This window comes from Homo sapiens, chromosome 12 (genome assembly GCF_000001405.40).
Source record: "Homo sapiens chromosome 12, GRCh38.p14 Primary Assembly".
Taxonomy (NCBI): Eukaryota; Metazoa; Chordata; class Mammalia; order Primates; family Hominidae; genus Homo; species Homo sapiens.
The window spans coordinates 125,384,785-125,403,255 of record NC_000012.12 but is presented as its reverse complement, the minus strand read 5'-3'; the positions used below and the strand labels follow the sequence as shown (position 1 = coordinate 125,403,255).

Below are 18,471 nucleotides of genomic sequence, written 5' to 3'. Positions count from 1 at the left end.
AAGTAGAGGTAGATTCAAGACAGGGGCTCACATGTCTAGATAATGTCACTCAGCAGCTCAGTGGGGAGTCTCTGGGTCAGAGAGCTCTAAAGGGCAGTTGCAGCTTGAGTTCTTTTATAGCTAAAAGGTTTATCTTATTTACAACTAACAGACATTGGACTCAGTTTTGCAGGGTATGCAAAACAGGCAGGCTCCAAATGGCTAAAAATCTGTTTATTTGGGCTATGTTTAAAACAATTGGATGTGTAAAAATATGAATTTGGTGCCAGCAGGCTTTTGAGCTAACAGGTCCCAGCCTGCTGTGAAGAAACAAACAACACAGGGGCCAATGAGCAGGAACCATTTTTATCTCACTTACATAATAACCAATTTCTGACATACAGAAAAAAAAAATTATATGTATTTTCCATAGGTTCTTCATTACATAAACATTTGCTGTATGAATCCTTGAAATTATGGGATTACATACGGAAGGATAAATTGGCAGAACAAGAAACCACTTGTTGATAAATGGACTCTTCCAGATGTCAGTCCCTGCCCACACATGGCCCTTAGATGACAGCAGCATCTACCCCTGCCCACCACTTCAACATCTCTGCCATCTTGATTGGTCAGATTCTGCTGACTGCCAACTATAAATACAATGCAAAAGCAATGCAAATCCATTGCAAAGTGAAATTGCATATCTTGTAATAGTAGAGGATGGACAAATGCATGCAAAACTATCAACAAAGAGAATGAAGCCAGGGTCTACAATCACCCTTCAAGATATATTTACCAGCCAGGCATGGTGATTCATGCCGGTAATCCCAACACTTTGAAAGCCCAAAGTGGGCAGGTCACCTGAGGTGAGGAGTTCAGGACCAGCCTGGCCCCTGTCTCTACTAAAAATACAAAAATTAGCCAGGCGTGGTGGTGGTTGCCTGTAATCCCACCTACTCCAGAGGCTGAGGCAGGAGAATTGCTTGAACCCGGGTGGTGGAGGTTGCAGTGAGCCAAGATCACGCCACTGCACTCCAGCCTGGGTGACAGAGCAAGATTCCATCTCAAATAGATATAGACAGATAGATAGATAGATAGTAAGTAAACAAGTGAAGAGGAGAAAATCAGTGAGGACAATGGGTGCTTCAGAAGACAGCAGTTTCAATAGCCGAGTATCGTGAAGCTCTTGGGGAAACTGGAGAAGCCCTCAAATATTTCCGCTAAACGGATCCTTTTTGTGATCCTACTAGCAATGTCAAACATGAAATGAGAACTGCAATATTGTATAGTTATAGAAAACTGGAAGAAAAATGACAAATTATCAACATGCATTCTTTGTTCAAAGTGCACAGATCGGGAATTGCCAACCCCTAATTTTGTTTACTACAAGATAAAATAAACTTTTATTATAATCTTTATTTCATTTCTCAAGGAAGAAAAAAAAATCCCAATCAAGTTTTTTCTCACTATTTTCTACAAAATTTTGGTTCCCAATTTTAGTCAATTAATTTTAATTAGCCAAAAATACTTAAAGAAAATTTCTCCATCACACCCTTCTAGCTTTGAATTGCAATGCTCATAAAAATGTATATTTATGTGTGTGAAAATATGCTAATATTGTATGTTGGTGGGGAACAGAACACTGGCTCCTCGTGGTTCCTAAAACAGCACATTCCTTCTCGTCTCTAAACCTTTCCACCTGCCATTCCCCCTGCCTGGAAGCCTCTCCCACAGACACCACCATGACTCATTCCCTAATCTCCTTCAGATCTGGACAAATGTCACCTCTCAGTGAAGTTTTCCTAGACCACCCAATCTAAAATGGCAAATCCCTCTTATCCTCAACAACTTCTATCCCTGGTCTCCTGCTTTATTTTTCTCCTTAGCACTAAACCGTACCCAATATACACTTTGCTTCCCTTGTTTATTATCTGTCTCTCCCACTAGATATAAGCCCAAGGAGAGCAAAGATTCCGCAGTTTCTGTTTCCTGCATTATCCATAGTGCTGAGAACCATGCCTGGCAAATGGGAGGAGCTTAATCAATATTGGTCGAATGAAGGGTCTTTATCTAAGGTGTCATCCGTCTCTGGATGTCCCACGAATATGAGACTTCAAGGGCTGAAGATGCCCAGTAAGAGACATCACCAAAAAATTCCAAGGGCAGGGAAGGGGGTGAAGGCATCAGAACCCTGTGGACCAGAGGCTCTCAAACTTTCAAGCATATCAGAATCACCTGTGCCACTTGTCATGGCACAGAGATTGGGACCAAACCTCTAGAGACTGTGCTGCTATAGGTCTGGGGGGCAGGACCCATAGTGCTGTGTTTTTAAACAAGTTGCCCTTCTGAAGCACGGGGTCCTCAGAACACTCTGTGGGCAATACTGTTTGGGACACACCTCAGACATCACATTCTGTCGAGCGGAGTCATGCAAAAGAGGTTCAACACCCTTTCTGAGATAAGCCCAGCCTGGGGCACGGGAACATTTTCAGGGTGTGATTAAGGAAAACTGCAAGGATACTTTTAATTGGGGCTCTCCCACCAAACCACTTTCCCTGTGATAAATTAACCAAAGACAGAGATGCTTGCATCTCCCACTAAGCACCTGGAGGCTGGTAACGTCAGACTCTGCTGAGAGCTCCTTGCAACAGGTTACAGGGCATGGAAAAGAGAGTCCAAGGGATCCACAGAGGGCAGGAGCCTGGCCTGCCAAGATGACCATGGAGCAGGTGGGGACTCCAGTCTTACATGCTCCTGTCCAGGGGGCTGGAAACCCAGATATTTTGGGCCTCTGAGTCAGAACAGGAGCCATCCTGATGGATAAACAGACAACTGGTGCTGGAAAAGCACATCCACCAGAGAGAAGTACTGGAAATCATGAAACTCAGCTATGAGAACAGGACACCTGAAGGGGGATCTGCATGCCAGTGAGAACTTTCCCCAGGCAACACGTGCTGATTTCTAGAAGCTATTGCCACTCTCCCGTCTCATTGCTCAGTTTAATCTCTCGTCTAAGAAAGTCAAATACTAAGAAACTTATGTGTCTAGCTTTGGACAAATCAGAAATTTCACATTTTTACAAGAAAAAGAATGGTTTTAGTTATTTCAGTGCTTCTACTATAACAGCTGCCTTGATCTCATGTGTTACCTTTTGAGAGATGGCTAGGTATCAGCAACTGGGAGAGGTGATTTGTAGGCAATGGAGCCCATCAAAGCAAGAGAGAACTACAGATAAGAACAATCATCGCAGCTACAATTGTAGAAATGTCTGCTCCACCCCATCCAAGGCAGCTCTGAGTGTGAAAACAGCAGTAGGTTCATGTATGCAGGAAGCTCCATCCAGCCTGTGAAGCTGATCTGATCCTCAACCTGTTTGCCTATGCCTCAATGAGACAGTCGTTATGTTGTTTCCCCAACCAAATGATAGCTTCTACAATGCAATATTTTCTTCCCAGACTCCAGCTTCATAGACGCTTAGCCAATCTCAAACCTCAACACCTTCCACAGCCAATATAACAGAGTAAGTTTACCCCAGAGCTGCCTGTTGGATCTTTCCTGTTCTATGCTAGCTGTATTAGTTTCCCAGAACTGTTGTAACAAATTACCACAAACTGGTGACTCAAAACAAGAGAAACTTACGCTCTCACAGTTCTGGAGGCCAGAAGTCTGAAATCAAGGTGTTGGTAGGGTGGGTTCCTTCTAGAGTCTCTGAGAGATAATCCATTCCATGCCTCTCCTATAGCCCATCCCTCAATACACACACACACACACACACACACACACACACACATACACACACACACACACACACACACTTCCTTCTTCACATCTTCCACAGCAACAAGATAAGCAAGTCCAAAACTCTGCCTTGGCCCCAAGTATCTAAACCTAGCACAAAATAAGTGGACCCAGCCTACGGCATGTTTTACTTAGCCACTCATTTGGTGACAGTACATGCCATATGTATGTGTATATAAACTTTAGGATGATCTGCTACGATCCCTGGCTCCTGATGATTACAGCTTTGTAAATCTGTTTCCCTTGAGTGTGGGTAGGAACTGAGACTTCCTTGTAACTAATTAAATAATGCAAAGGCACTGGAATGTCACTCCATGACCACATTAGGTTTATAAGACCATCTCACTAGCTGACTGACTAGAACTATCTTCTTGGGTGGCTTTGAAGAAACAGGCAGTCAGGTTGGAAGACCTATGTGACAATAACCTGGGGGAAGTGGGGCTCTAGGAACAGAGGGCAGCCTCCAGGCACCAGCCAGCAAAAATCCAGGGCTCTCAGCCATACCACAAAAAGGAAATAAATTCTGCCAACAACTGAATCAGCTTGAAGCAGATTCTTCACCAGTTGGGCCTCCAGATGAGAACACTGCCCAGACAACACCTGGGCTGCAGCCTGTGAGATCCAAAGCTGAGGACCCAGCTGAGCCATGCCTGGACTCTCAACCCACAGAAACGATGAGATAATAAATGGGTGATGTTTTAAGCCTTTAAGTTTGTGGTGATTTTGCTACTCACCAATAGATAACAATTAGACCATGTCTTAAAACTTTCAATTTGATAGCCAATATGTAAGCATCAGACAATTTCACATAAAAACCCAGATTTCTGACTTTACTGAAACTTGACCACACTGAACTTGCATTCCTGCCCAGTAACAATGGGCTTGAGCTGAGCAGCAGCTGCTCCATCAGCCAAGGCCCACTCTCCAGTTACCACATCCCCCCCACCGCCAGTCCCTACTGCCTCCCTGACACTGAGGCTGACTGCTGGTTGCTACTAATTACTGCGTTTACCCTACGCTTTTTCTCTGCATTGACTTAGAAGGAAATGAAAAGACTTCTGTGTCTGTATCTATGTCAACTGTTTTCTCACATCGGTCTTCTTTGATCATTTATGCTACCAGCCTGGTCCCTACAGGCAATGGTTTTCAATCGATGAGATACCACCCCCTAGAAGGCACATATATAAAAATGAGTAGGGGTAGTTGGGATTTCCCAATAACTCAGGAAGCAGGTAAGAGGATTGTCAGCATTTAGAGGATTAGGGTTAGGGATGCTAAATGCCCTGCAGTGCACAGAAAAGTCTCATCCCACATCCAATGCCAATAGTTCTCCCATGGAGAACACTCTAGGTAGATTTTTCAGTCCCTCTCTAGATAATGCCCACCCCTGCCTGCCCCCAATGCAAATGCCGATGATATCTTTTCCAAGCAAACTGGACCCTGAACTGAGCTGCTGATGCTCCCTAACTGTTCTGTCCTTGTCACTATGTGGGACATACTCTTATTTTTCTCAGTGCATGTAAACAGAACAGGAAGCAACTTTCCTACAAACACTGGGTATTCTGTGTCACTGTCATGAAATCAACACCTGCCACAATTTCAAGTCCGTTATTGTCCCACTATCAGGAATGTGCTTTGTTCATCCACTTCACTTCTTTTCATAGCTCCAAGCATTGGTGCCCCAAGCATTGGTTCCTAACAAGAAAATCAATCCTCCTTCAGATCACATCTAAATTCTGACATGACAGAGGTTCCCCAATGCAGAAAGTCTTCTCTTCTGTCATTCTCAACCATGGACTCTGGTCCTTATGCTCCACAAAATAAGTTAATGACAATGTGCATCTCTCTCACAGCAAAATCATTAAATACACAAATATATACACACCATGACCAACACTTGGCAGGAGGTAGGGAAGTTGATATTTTCTCAGGGCCCAATAAAGGGTTTCTCATGATTCAATTAGTAGGGTAATAGTGTTTCATGGGAACCTGGGATTTGTAAATGGAGAGTAATTAAGAACTAAAAATGCTTTTGAAATGAAAAGGATTTGGAAAGAAGATTGAGTCTCAGGGCTTTGGGATTCAAATATGTCTGGGAGGCATTCCATTTAATTTAAGGTCTATTTGCCAAGTATCTGCTACCTGTCAGGCGTTAACCTACTGTGTGCAAAAGAAACAGGCAGTCCGAAGAGACACATAGAACAGTGAAGTTGGCTGGGCACAACTTCTCTAATCCCAGCACTTCTGGAGGCTGAGGCGGGAGGATCACGAGGTCAGGAGATGGAGACCATCCTGGCCAACATGATGAAACCCCATCTCTACTAAAATACAAAAAAATTAGCCGGGCCTGGTGGTGGGTGCCTGTAGTCCCAGCTAACTGGGAGGCTGAGGCAGGGGAATTGCTTGAACCTGGGAGGGGGAGATTGCAGTGAGCCGAGATCACGCCACTGCACTCCAGCCTGGGCAACAGATCAAGGCTCTGTCTCAAAAAAAAAAAAGAATAGTGAAGTTAAGACCACTGTAGGCATAATTTCTACAACAGTGATGTTAAAGCTGTATGTCTGCCTTGAATTCAAGACTCTAGCTGTGTGAACGTGGAAAAGTCATGTAACCTCTTTGTGCCTCTGTTTCCTCACCTGTAAAATTGGGCATATTAATGACAGTACTGGCCAGGTGTGGTGGCTCTCATGCCTGTAATCCAAGCACTTTGGGAGGGCAAGGCAGGTGGATCACTTGCACCCAAGAGTTTGAGACCAGCCTGGGAAACATAGCAAGATCCCATCTCCAGAAAAAGTATGAAAATTAGCTAAGTGTGGTGGCACGTGCCTGCAGTCCCAGCTACCTCAGAGGTGGGAGGATCACCTGAGCCCAGGAGGTCAAGGCTGCAGTGAGCCATGATCACACCACTGCACTCCAGCCTGGTTGACAGAGCAAGACCCCATTTCAAAAACAAACAAACAAACAAATAAATAATAGTACCTACCTCACAGTGTCACTGCAGGGATTAAATGGAGACAGTATATACAAAGTGCTTAGAACAGAGCCTGGCATATAATTAGTACTATACAGTGTTCACGATGATGATGTGGGTGATAAGAGTGTCCAAGTGCTGTCCCCTTCATAAACCAGCCTAGACTGAAATGCTGACATCCAAAAGAATCATCCTTTGGTGCTAAAATGCTTCAGGGGAAGACTGAGAACTAGAGAAAAACTACTGTGAGAATCATCCAACAAACTCCCAACCCTGGTTGTCCCACACACATAAGACCAGAAAGATTAATGGAAACTGCCCAGCATCCAGCCCCTACTCCTACACAGTGCTTGTATTTCCCATTGAGGAGCCACACTCACACTCAGTCCAGGTAGTTCATGCTGGGCTGACTCCACTGTTGGTTTCAGGGATTGGTATGTATGTGGCCAATCAAAGCATTGTGTCCTCCTGACAGAGTGATTGGTCCAAGGAGGAACCATTTGACCCAACCAAGCCAATCAGACTTTCCCATTCCCTGGCCACAGTTGATTGGCTCACAAGTAGACATGTGACTCAGGATTTGTCAGGGATTGTTGATTCCAGCTGTCTCTCCACTAAGCAATAAGCACTGCAAGAGTCTACCACCCGCCTAAGAATAAAACCATCAGAGAAATGCAGAGGCAATTAATGGAAAGAGCTTGCTTTCTGGCCACTCCATCTCAGCGTCTGGATCCAGCCAGACCTGAGACTCTCTTCGAACTCTTCAATTACACGAGCCAGGAAATTACCCTTAAGCCACTTTGAGTTGGGTGTCTTCTATTTGCAATCAAAAGTTCACTGACAAAAAACAATCAGGCTCTGACATTTCTACCACTCCGAGGACCAGATAAAACCCTCTCAAAGTTCACAGAAGATACACACATAACTTTACCGTCTGTAATCCAAGGACAAGAGAACAGATGGTGGAAGGATGTTCAATATTTCAACTGCCCTTGTGAGCACAGAGAGCAAATATTAAATAAAGGGAATTTATGGAAATAATCAGAGATCCTCTGTTGTCATATCCATCACTTTGGTAATAAATATTAATTTTAAAAAGCTAAGATACAAAAATTCAATTCATAACTCAAAATAACCTGACCTTTTATGGAATTAAACTCATTGACAGAAGTCAAACCTGCTATTTGTAAAATGTCTGGTCATATCAACTTTCAGGTGACTAATAATCATTTCATCACAGTAATTTAAAGCATTGTGTCAGCCATAATGAATTTTTTTCACCTCTTCCTCTCCAACCCAGACACACTCAACGGTTCACCCTGATGCACTGGATATTTCCTGTCCATGAAGACTTCTCAACTAGCCTGGGTCCTCACAGCTACCAAGAAACACACAGGCACACACATGCACATATACATACATCCATTTTCACAGCTTTATTTGCCACCTATATTTTTTTCTTAAAATTTAGACTCAGGAGGTACCTGTGCAGGTTTGTCACATGGGTACATTGCATAATGGTGAGGTTTGGGCTTCTAGTGTGCCCATCACTCAAATACTGAACATTGTACCCAATTGATAATTTTTCAACCCTCATCCCCCTTCCAACCTCCCCACTCCTGGAGTCTCCAGTGTCTATTATTTCCATCTTTACATCCATGTGACCCACTGTAGCTCCCACATGGAAGTGAGAACATATGGTATTTGATTTTCTGTTTCTGGGTTACTTCACTTAGGATAATGGCCTCCATATTATGATGATCCCCAGACTTATTTTTACAGCACAGAACTTTCTTCCAAGTCCCAGATTCATAGCCAAATGAATACTTGAAATCATCTCTTAGAAGTTGAAAGGAAAATCAAACTTACTTTGTCCAAAAACTGAACTCAAGATATCAACCCACCCAAAATAAAAAGGAAACTAATGACTTCTCTTGTCCCCCTTGAGAAAGGACTGCCAACCTCAAAGCACTCAAACCAGAAACCTACAGATCAACCCTGTCGCCCACTTGACACCCAAGTCAATCAATAAGTCCCGAGTGTCTCTCCATGTCACTGCCATCATCCTCATGTGTATCATTTGCAACCACTGCTGCAAACCATGCAGCAACCAGGTGGTCTGCTCAAAATCCCAAGCTGTCGCTGCCCACCTTAACGCTCTCCCCTAATCACTTCTATTGTTAGAAGAAGTCCAAAATCTGTCAAGCATGGACTCTGGAACCAGACTGCCTGGATTCAAATCCTGGCTCTACTGTTTATCTGCTGGGCAAGTTACTTAACCTCTCTGAGCCTCAGTTTTCTGATCAGTAAAATGGAATCATAGTAGCCACCTCACTGATGTCCTCTGAGAACTGAATTTTAAGCACTTAGTGGGTGCTGTTTGAATTCTCTTTAGGCTTGTGGCTCCAGGCTTTCCTACTGGTCTTTCTCAGTTCCTACCTGGCTATATGGGTTGTTCTCTGTTTGCCCCTCCAGATCCATTGTCTAGACTTTTCTGCCCTGCCCTGTACCATTAGAGGCTGAAAGCTATGAACAGCATTACTCAGAGGCTCCTTCGTCCTCTCTCTGGCTTCCAGTTGGGTTCAACCAATAGGAGAGACAGTAGGAGATTAGACAGTGAGAAAAGAGAGGTTGAGATATTCCTATCCCCAGCTTCTTCCTCCTGTGACAGTGCCTGGGTTTGTCCCATGAAGTTCCTGCACGAAGCACTGTTCCATATCACTATAATTCACTTCCCTGTCTCCGCCTCCTTGGGCCAGGGCCATCACTGTTTGCCACTGTTGCTTGTTCCTGGCTGGCTTCCTTGACTGCGCCTCCATCTTCATCAAAAGCCCCTTCATTAAGTTCTCTTTGAGGTGTGCCAGCTGTTCCTGCCTGAACCCCGACTGATGTGGGTGTTCGCATATACCGTTTGCTATGCCTGAAACCTTTATAGCTCACACCACCCCCCAGCCCTTTTACCCCCAATTATCTGGATAATCTTATCCATCTTTCAATTCTCATCTTAATTGATGCCTCCTCCAGGAAGCCTTCCCAGGTACACAAAACCAGGTTGTTGTTGTTGTTGTTTTCTTGTATTGCGTCTCTATTTGTCCTTCCTCATATTTACCACAACTAATACTAAATAATCACCTGTGTAAGTTTTCATATACATTGTGGTTGTCTCAAACAGTTAAGACCCATAACAGTAGAAATGACATATCTTGTTAGGTTTTTGTATCATTCCCACTTCATACAATGCTTTGTACCCACTCAATGCTCAATATGCACTTCTCAGATTAATCAATCAAACACCCAAAATGCAGCAGGTCCCTGTGATTGAAATGCCAGGCTTTATCCAATACAGAAAGAAACCAACAAACTGATATCAAAGGCAAAGCTACTTTGGCTTCTCAAGCTAAGGCAGATGCTCCTGGAAGGAAGGTGCTTATGCCTCTCTCTTTTACTGACATGGCTTCTAGTCGCAAACGGTCTCCAGTAAAACTTGGTGTTGGAGCCCTTGTTGCAAATGTGGGCACAGAGGCAGGCTACGCAGGAGGGAAGCTGGCATCGGATCACGGGGCCCCCAGGGCTCAGTCTGATGTACCCTCCCCCATCACTCAGGAGGAACAGCACTAACAGCACCTCACATCCAATTGCCACTTGAATACTTGCCAAGTACTTTCACACATATTACCTCAGGTGTTCCTCATGCAAGCCTGCGACACTGCGACGGAGAAATCATTCACATATCCACAATCACACAAGTGTGTAGTGCAGAGCCAGGGCTGGCCTAGTGGTCTTGTGGTTATTGGTCCCAGCCTGCAACTCCTCCCAGGAGGTGAGCCGGCCTCAGCCACGTGGGTTTTCTTGGTATGATCTTGGCTGTTGGTCAGGTGCAGTGCCCCAAACCTCCCCCTACTGAGGTCCCTTTGAAAGTACCCAAAAAGGCAGCATCATGAAGGGGCTAAGAGCACAACCTCCAGACCCCGATGCCTAGGTTCAAAGCCAAGTGCTGCCACTTTCTACCTGCGTAGCCCAACGCTAGTTATTTTAGCCTCTTTGAGACCCAGTTTCCATGTCTGGAAAGTGGGGATAACAGTGCCCACTTGGATGGCAGCCTTGAGCATTAAGCGAGTGAATGTATTTCCATGACACAGCACAGTGCCTGACCTGGCATACGGCAAGCACTAAATACATATCTCCTATTCCAACCCATTTTTAACCACACCAGCTAAATTGTCCCCACTAAACTAGCTTCCAGCCTTCAGGTAAGATGGAAATGTTATTCCACTTTGCCCCTCGTCTCCCAACCCAGGGATGGAGAGGAAAGCACGTAGTAGGTATATTTCTCAGTCTATAAACTCAAAAAAAATATTATTTTCTTTACTTTCTAAAATCCAAGTTAATTTTGATTCTCAGTCCTATGTGGCCAGGCTGGTATTAAAAATAAAACTAAGGCCGGGCACAGTGGCTGATGCCTGTAATCCCCGCACTTTGAGAGGCTGAGACAGGCAGATGCCTTGAGCTCAGGAGTTGGGAGACCAGCCTGGGCAACACAGAGAAACCCTAGCTCTACAAAAAATAAAATTTTAGCTTGGTGTGGTGGTGTGTGCCTGTAGTCCCAGCTACTCAGGAGGCTAAGGCAGCAGGACCAGACGAGCCCAGGAGGTTGAGGCTGCAGTGAGTTGAGATCATGTCACTGTGCACTCCAGCCTGGGCAACAGAGTGAAACCTTGTCTCAAAAAACTAATTAATTAATTTAATTTAATTTAACTGGAGGGAATCCCTCCTGAGGTTTTGTACTCTCTTTTAGGGTTTGGGAGGAGATATACTTGTGGGGTTCTGTGTAGGGACAAAGATGGGAGGGAGCAGAACGCAAGCAGAACTTCCACTGTCCACGCACACAGACTGCCCCTGAGACATCCCACATGGTGGCTCCCATGGCCCCTGCAGGTCTGCAGGGGAGTAGGGGAGGGTCTCTGCTACTTTGCTGCCAGGCTTGCGGCTAGGAAAGCTTTCAAAAGGCTACCCATGTCCCATCTACTCAGATCCATGGTAGTAACCTCAAGTGCCTCCAGGACCAGGCAAGTGATATAAAGGTGAGTAGCTGAGCAGGTAGAGGCTATGGAAAGCTGGCAACTAACACCCACAGGCCCCAATCTAAGGGCAAGTCTCTGTGAGCCACCTCTGCTTTCAACCTAAAAAAGAAGTGCTCTCTGCTAACAAGAGCTTCCATTTGTATAGCTCTATCCAGCAGGCAACATACCTTGACACGAACTTAACCGCGGATGACCTGCAGCCTGAGGGCACTCTGTGAAGGCATTCTCTGAGGAGTTTCTGCTCCTTCACCATCCCAACAATTCTCCTCCATGATCATTTTTCTCCGTCCAGGAACACAATCTCCTAACACCACATTTGACATAGTAAAGTTCAATTATTGATAGTGAGACACACACACACACACACACACACACACACACACTATTCTTTAGTAAATCTGTTTTAATCCTGCTGTGAAAAAAAAATAACTCTTTAGTGCAGACCCCAGAGTTGAAAAGGATAAAGAGGAATAGGTTAGTTACCTCCTGCTGCATGACAAATCACTCCAAACCCTAGCTACCCCAAAACAATATTTTTCCTCTTAAAGTTTCAAGAATTCAAGAGCATTTTTGCTGGATGGCTCTGACTCAGGTGGTTCTCTCTCTCTCGAGGTTTCAGTCATGGTATGGGGGCTGCAGTCATCTGAAGGCTTGACTGGGGCTGGAGGATCCACCTCCAAGGTGACTCACTCAAATGGCTATTGGCCTCAGTTCACCATGTGGCCCTCTCCTTAGATGCTACTTGAGCATCCTCAACATGGCAGCCAGCTTCCTCCAGAAAAAATGATCCGAGACAGAACAACGAGAAAGATGCAATGCTTTTACATCTTGGTCTCAGATGTCACACAACCTCATGTCTGCTGTATTTTATATGTTAGAAGTGACTCACCAAATCCAGCCCACATTCAGAGTGGAGAACTCAGCTTCACCTCATGAAGTGAGGAGTATCAAAGAATTTGTAGACGTATTTTTAAGCCACTACAAATGAAAAGGTTTTAGAGACTTCTACTAAAACCATGGACTCATTTTGCCTGTTCTTGAATTTCACAGAAAAGGAACCATGTGTCTCTATGGATCAACGTTAAGTTTACCAATATTAACCTAGCTATTGCATATAGCAGTAGTTTGTTTTCTCACTGCATGAATATACTGTGGCTTATTCATCCATTCCACTGTTGATGGACACTTGGGTTGTTCCAGTTTGGGGCCTTTATAAATAATGCCACTATAAGCATTCTTGTGTGTGTCTTTTGGTGAACACATTTGTGAATTGCTGTTGAATATTTAGCTAGGAGTGGAATTGCTGGGTCATGGATTTGTGTATATTCCAAATGGTACTAGTTGTGAGGACAGCAGTAACCATGGAGAGGAGAGGAGTCCCTGGGAAGGAGCATATGGAGCTTATGAGGTGCTGGTCACATTACGATTCTTGAACGGAGTGACAGTTACACAGGTTTGTTCATTTTGTAAAAATTCATCGAGCTATGCAATTGGAATCTGTGCATTTACTGTCTGTGGGTATATGTCTATATAAAGTTTTCTTTAAACTTTTAAAATACTTGAGAGGCACCTATTATATGCAAGGTACCATAGGGCTATGAGATCAGGCCTCTTTTTACAAAGGTGCCCTACTTATGAGAGCAGTGGTGCTAAAAGACTGCCAATGTATCTAGAAGAAACCCTGCCACATGTCCACAGGTCTGGCTTATAGCTGCTGCATGGAACTGATGGAATGCCACAATAACAACCAAAAATGGCCACTAATATTTACTGAGTTCTTTCCAGTATCAGGCTCTGTTCTAGGCTCTATAGTATCTCTCTTAATTATCATAACAACTCCATCTTCAGTTTTAATAATGAGGAAAATGAGGAACAGAAAGTTTAGGTAATTTTCCCAAGATCACACAGCTAACAAGAGCCAGAGCCAGCATTCAAGCCCAGGAAGTGTGGTGGCTCTAGGGCTAGAGAGCAGGAAGAGATATCTGTGATGAATTATGGAAGGATGGATGGAAGAAGAAAGGAAGGGAGAAAAGCAAAGGAAAGGATGAAAAGGAAGGGAAGGGGAGGGGAGTTGAGGGGAGGGGAGGGGAGGGAGGAGGAGGGGGAGGAAAGGAGCTGCAATTTCTCTGCCCACATCATCTAAAATATTCTTCATGTCCCATTATGCTTTATCCTGACATCCTGCTTTAATTTTTGCATAACACTTAGTACTCCCTGAAATTATACTTCTTTTAATTATTTGCTTACTTATTTATTGTTTGTATCTCCAGCTAGAATACAAGCTTCCTGAGGACTTTTATCTGTCTTGCTCATAGCTGTATCCTCAACACCCAATTTTAAAAACTAGATTTATCAATCTTGTGTGTTTGTGTGTGTGTGTGTGTGTGTGTGTGTGTGTGTGTGTGTGTGTACAGAAAATATGGAAGAAAAGAGGGGCAATAGAAAGACAAAGGCTGGAATGGGAGAGATCTTGGCTTTTCCTTCCTCAATTCCTGTGTTGTTGCCTTGTAACTAGTAGGAATTGCTTTTGTAGTTTGAGGATAAAATGCAATGAAGTATAAAATAAGAATGAATAAAAGGATGCTACAAAAGTTCTGATTTTCAGAAACAATATCCACATGTGTGCAATAGCTGCTGGGGCAGGAGCCAGAAGACGAGCAGGGATGGCAGACATTTCACCTTGTGTATCTATGCAGTCAAACAGCCCTGGGTGCCTGGAACACTGTTCTGGAAAAGATGTTGAGGCAGCCTGTGGGTTCAGCAGAAGAGAATGCTGTGACTAGTTCTATGAGCCATAAGCAAGTGCCGGGGTTGGCACTTTCTGCTGCATATTCACCATCCTGGCCTAGAGTATTTCCTGGACAGACTGTTGACCAACACACAATGCTCCAACTAGAGTGATCAGCTCAAATTATGGCCCAGGTTGAAGGAAGCTGGCAATTAAACCATACGGGACAACAGGTTTTTGTTTTGTTTTGTTTTTCTTTTTCTTTTAAGATGGAGTTTCACTCTTGTTGCCCAGGCTGGAGTGCAATGGTGGGATCTTGGCTCACTGCAACCTCTGCCTCCTGGGTTCAAGCAATTCTCCTGCCTCAGCCTCCCAAGTAGCTGGGATTACAGACGTGCACCACCACGCCCAGCTACTTTTGTGTATTTTTAGTAGAGATAGGGTTTCACTATGTCAGTCAGGCTGGTCTTGAACTCCCCACCTCAAGTGATCCACTCACCTTGGCCTCCTAAAGTGCCGGGATTATAGGAGTGAGCCACAGCACCCGGGCGACAATAGGTTTTTATGTTTCCAAAATGCCTCTGGAAAAGGAGATTTAACAACCTCCCCCACAACCAAATCCTGTGTTATGCAGCCCTCCATGCCTCGTGTATAATTATCATCTGTGCCACACTACCAGCCTTTCAGAACCCAAACATCAAACCCATAGACAGAAGAGCAGATTGTAGAGAAGACTCCTCCTTTCTAGTCAAAGACTCTGATCATTCCACAACAGTACTGACCCCCGAAGACTTTTCCTTCTTTTGAATTCCCTTAGTATTCACTCTCTGTTCATCTCAGTATCCAGAATTCTTTACATTGCCTTTTGCTGTTAGTTAAGGATGGATGGATGGATGGATAACGGATAAATTAATAAACAGGAGGATGGAAGATGGAGACAGATGTTTATCCATCTCAGTAACAAGCTTCTTAAAATTCACCACCATTTCTTATTTTAAACCTCCAATATCCTACTTGGAGCCTGGTACAGCAGCTCAATAAATGACTACCAACAAGGTAGGTGGTATTTACAAACTGGGGTTGCACATCTCAAAAGCTGTTTCCAATGCTGTTCCCATAAAAGGTATCCACAATAGCTTTTCAACCTACAGAAGGAGGGAAGACTTTGTTGGCTACAGACCTGTGACATGTGAAGTGGGGCTTCTGGTCTATGTAGGGACACACAAAAGACCAAGAAGACCAAGCTCCAGTTGGCACTGCCTTGATTCACCTTCCTGCAAGGGCAAAGTCTGTCCACTGCACACAGATAAGAGACCCAACTATTCTTTCATTAATAAACAACCAGAGGACAAACAACTCAACCCATTTGAGTTACTGTGTTCAAGGGTCCAGTATTTCTAGCTGTGCTTGTGGACTAAGCTACAGTGCTATTGACAGGGACTTGGAAAATAAAAGCAAAAAACTCTTACCCCTTTTTTCAGAAGAGAGACTTCCTATGCAATGGATCACAAATCTACCCACCCCCCCACCATCTCCCCGCCCCACCCCCAGAAAAAAGCAGAGGCAAATACTTTTAAGATAGAAGACTTCTTTCTGTCTGGGTCAATCAAGATCATGGATAATGCTGCCGGGGATCTTCAGAACCACTTTTCTTAGACAACATCTCCCCTGTACCTCAGTGTCCTTAACTGTGTGTCATCACTTCAAAAACAGCCTTTAGAGACTAACTATGAGTACCACACACCCAGAGGAATACAAAGTAAAGAAGCTCTGGGTTTTAGAGAGTGTGAGATTTATTTCTAACATAGCTGACAGGTCCTTGTGCAACATTAGCCAGATCATCACACTTCTTTGTGAGACATCAAAACAGCAGGCTGCATGCATTTGGTGAACTGTTCTTATCTTTGCATACCAGGAAACTCAATCAGATTTCACTGGATCCAGGAAAAACCTTTCTATTCCTCCTAAAAGCCAAAATTATTTGCATCTCAGAGTCTTTGCACTTGCTCTTCCCTCTCTAGCTCCCCACGGCTCTTTGGATATGCCTGTCTTACTTTATTCAGCCTGCTCACTCCTTGTCTTGCCTCCATGGGCATTTTAAACTGTAACAAACGAACAAGTAGAGAAGAAAAAATGCAACAAACCCAGTGAAAAAGCAAAAAATGCAAATGCAAAAAGAATCTACTAATTTGCTCATGTGTGATAGGTATTTTTCATTAGCTGGCATTGCTACAAAATCACAGTATGCCACTCCCTAATTCATAAAACACCAATGGTGCCAATGTGGACCCACATCTAGACCATAGTCATACGTAACCAGGCACTTTTTCTCCTTGAAAGCCATCTGACCTTACTTCCCTCCCACCATGCGTCCATCTAGACTCTTGCTGCATTCAAAATCAACAAATGGCTGGGCACAGTGTTTCATGCCTGTAATTCTAGCACTTTGGAAGACCGAGGCAGGCAGATCACTTGAGCCCAAGAGTTCAAGACCAGACTGGCTGACATGGTGAAACCCCATCTCTATAAAAAATACAAAAACAAGCCAGGAGTGGTGGTGAGCACCTGTAGTCCCAGCTACTTGGGAGGCTGGGAGAATCACCTGAGCCCGGGAGGCAGAGGTTGCAGTGAGCCTTGATCTTGCCACTGCACTCCAACCTGGGCAACAGAGTGAGATCCTGTCTCAAAACAAACAAACAAACAAACAAGCAAACAAGCACTTCATTACTTGTTTAATTCACAAAAAATGGCCACCATAAACACCAAAATACCAAGGATTTCTGTGTCTCTCCTACTAGAATATAAGTCTCATTAGATCAGAGAACTATCTAGTCAGTGCAAAAGCAATGGCTGGCAAATATAAGACACTCAAATATTTGTTGAACTAATAAATTAATGAATATCCCATATGAGAAATATTATGTAACACTGATCCACCTCCCATGGTTTCAATAAAAAATACATTAAGCCCCTGGCATTCACTAGACTGTTGTTTAGATCAATTGATTATGTTTCTTTTAGTTGCCAAACCTACTTACAAAGTACATGAAAGTGACAATAATAAAGTTATTTTCCTTGGGAAATTAAAGCCTGAGAGTTACATAAGGTCTTTGTCCAACACAAATTTTGTCAGCATCTATTCTCATGTGACCTAGGACATTTTAGTTCTGTCACTAAAAAGGCTCCCTCTGGCCATAAAGTCCAAGGTGCATTGATCGCCTCCAACAATAGGGTCCACAAGGCAGCCTCCAGCTGCCAAGCTCCTTGGCACGATGTGAAACAAAGAGACATGGTGAGGCTCTGCGGAGCTAACCTCCTCCCAAAATCAGAGGAGCAAAAAGATGCTAGACAGGTCCCCCAACCCTAGATATCCAACTCTCACACAGTTTTTTTTTATCCCTTCAAATATTATCAAGAAGAAACAGGAATAAATTAAAAAAACAAACTTTGATCTTGCCTAGTTTTTTAATCTTTTTTGCTGTGAGAGCAAAAGAAAACAATCTACATCAAAGAAAACAATCTTGCCTAATTTTAAAATGTTAGGAACTTGTTTTAAATGCCCAGCATTAAATTTTTTAAGTAAAATAAGTCAGGCACATGGAGGCAAATGCAGCATGATCTCACTTTTATGTGGAATTGTACAAAGTTGAATTCATAGAAGTAGGGAGTAGAATGATGGTTATCAGGGTCTGGGGGAGCTGAGAGGATGGGGAAAGGAGAGGTGTTGATCAAAGGGTAGAAAATGGCTGGGCATGGTGGCTCATGCCTGTAATCCCAGTACTTTGGGAGGCCAAGGCAGGTGGATCACCTGAGGTCTGGAGTTCAAGACCAGCCTAGCCAACATGGTGAAACCCCATTTCTACTAAAAACACACAAAATTAGCCGGACATGGTAGCACGCTCCTGTAATCC

The 18,471-nt window shown here is 43.9% G+C and overlaps 1 protein-coding gene across 10 annotated transcripts in view; it reads right to left on the bottom strand.

The window, feature by feature from the left end:
- The window catches only part of TMEM132B (transmembrane protein 132B), a 475,992-nt gene that overhangs the window by 259,122 nt on the left and 198,399 nt on the right, over positions 1–18,471 (bottom strand). The window contains exon 1 of one of the 10 annotated variants that reach the window (XM_047428244.1): positions 12,000–12,071. The exons of the other annotated variants lie outside the window; for them this stretch is intronic. The gene's annotated coding sequence lies outside the window, so the exon portion shown is untranslated. Of the gene's footprint in view, positions 1–11,999; positions 12,072–18,471 lie in introns of those variants that run through there. 10 annotated transcript variants of the gene reach the window in all.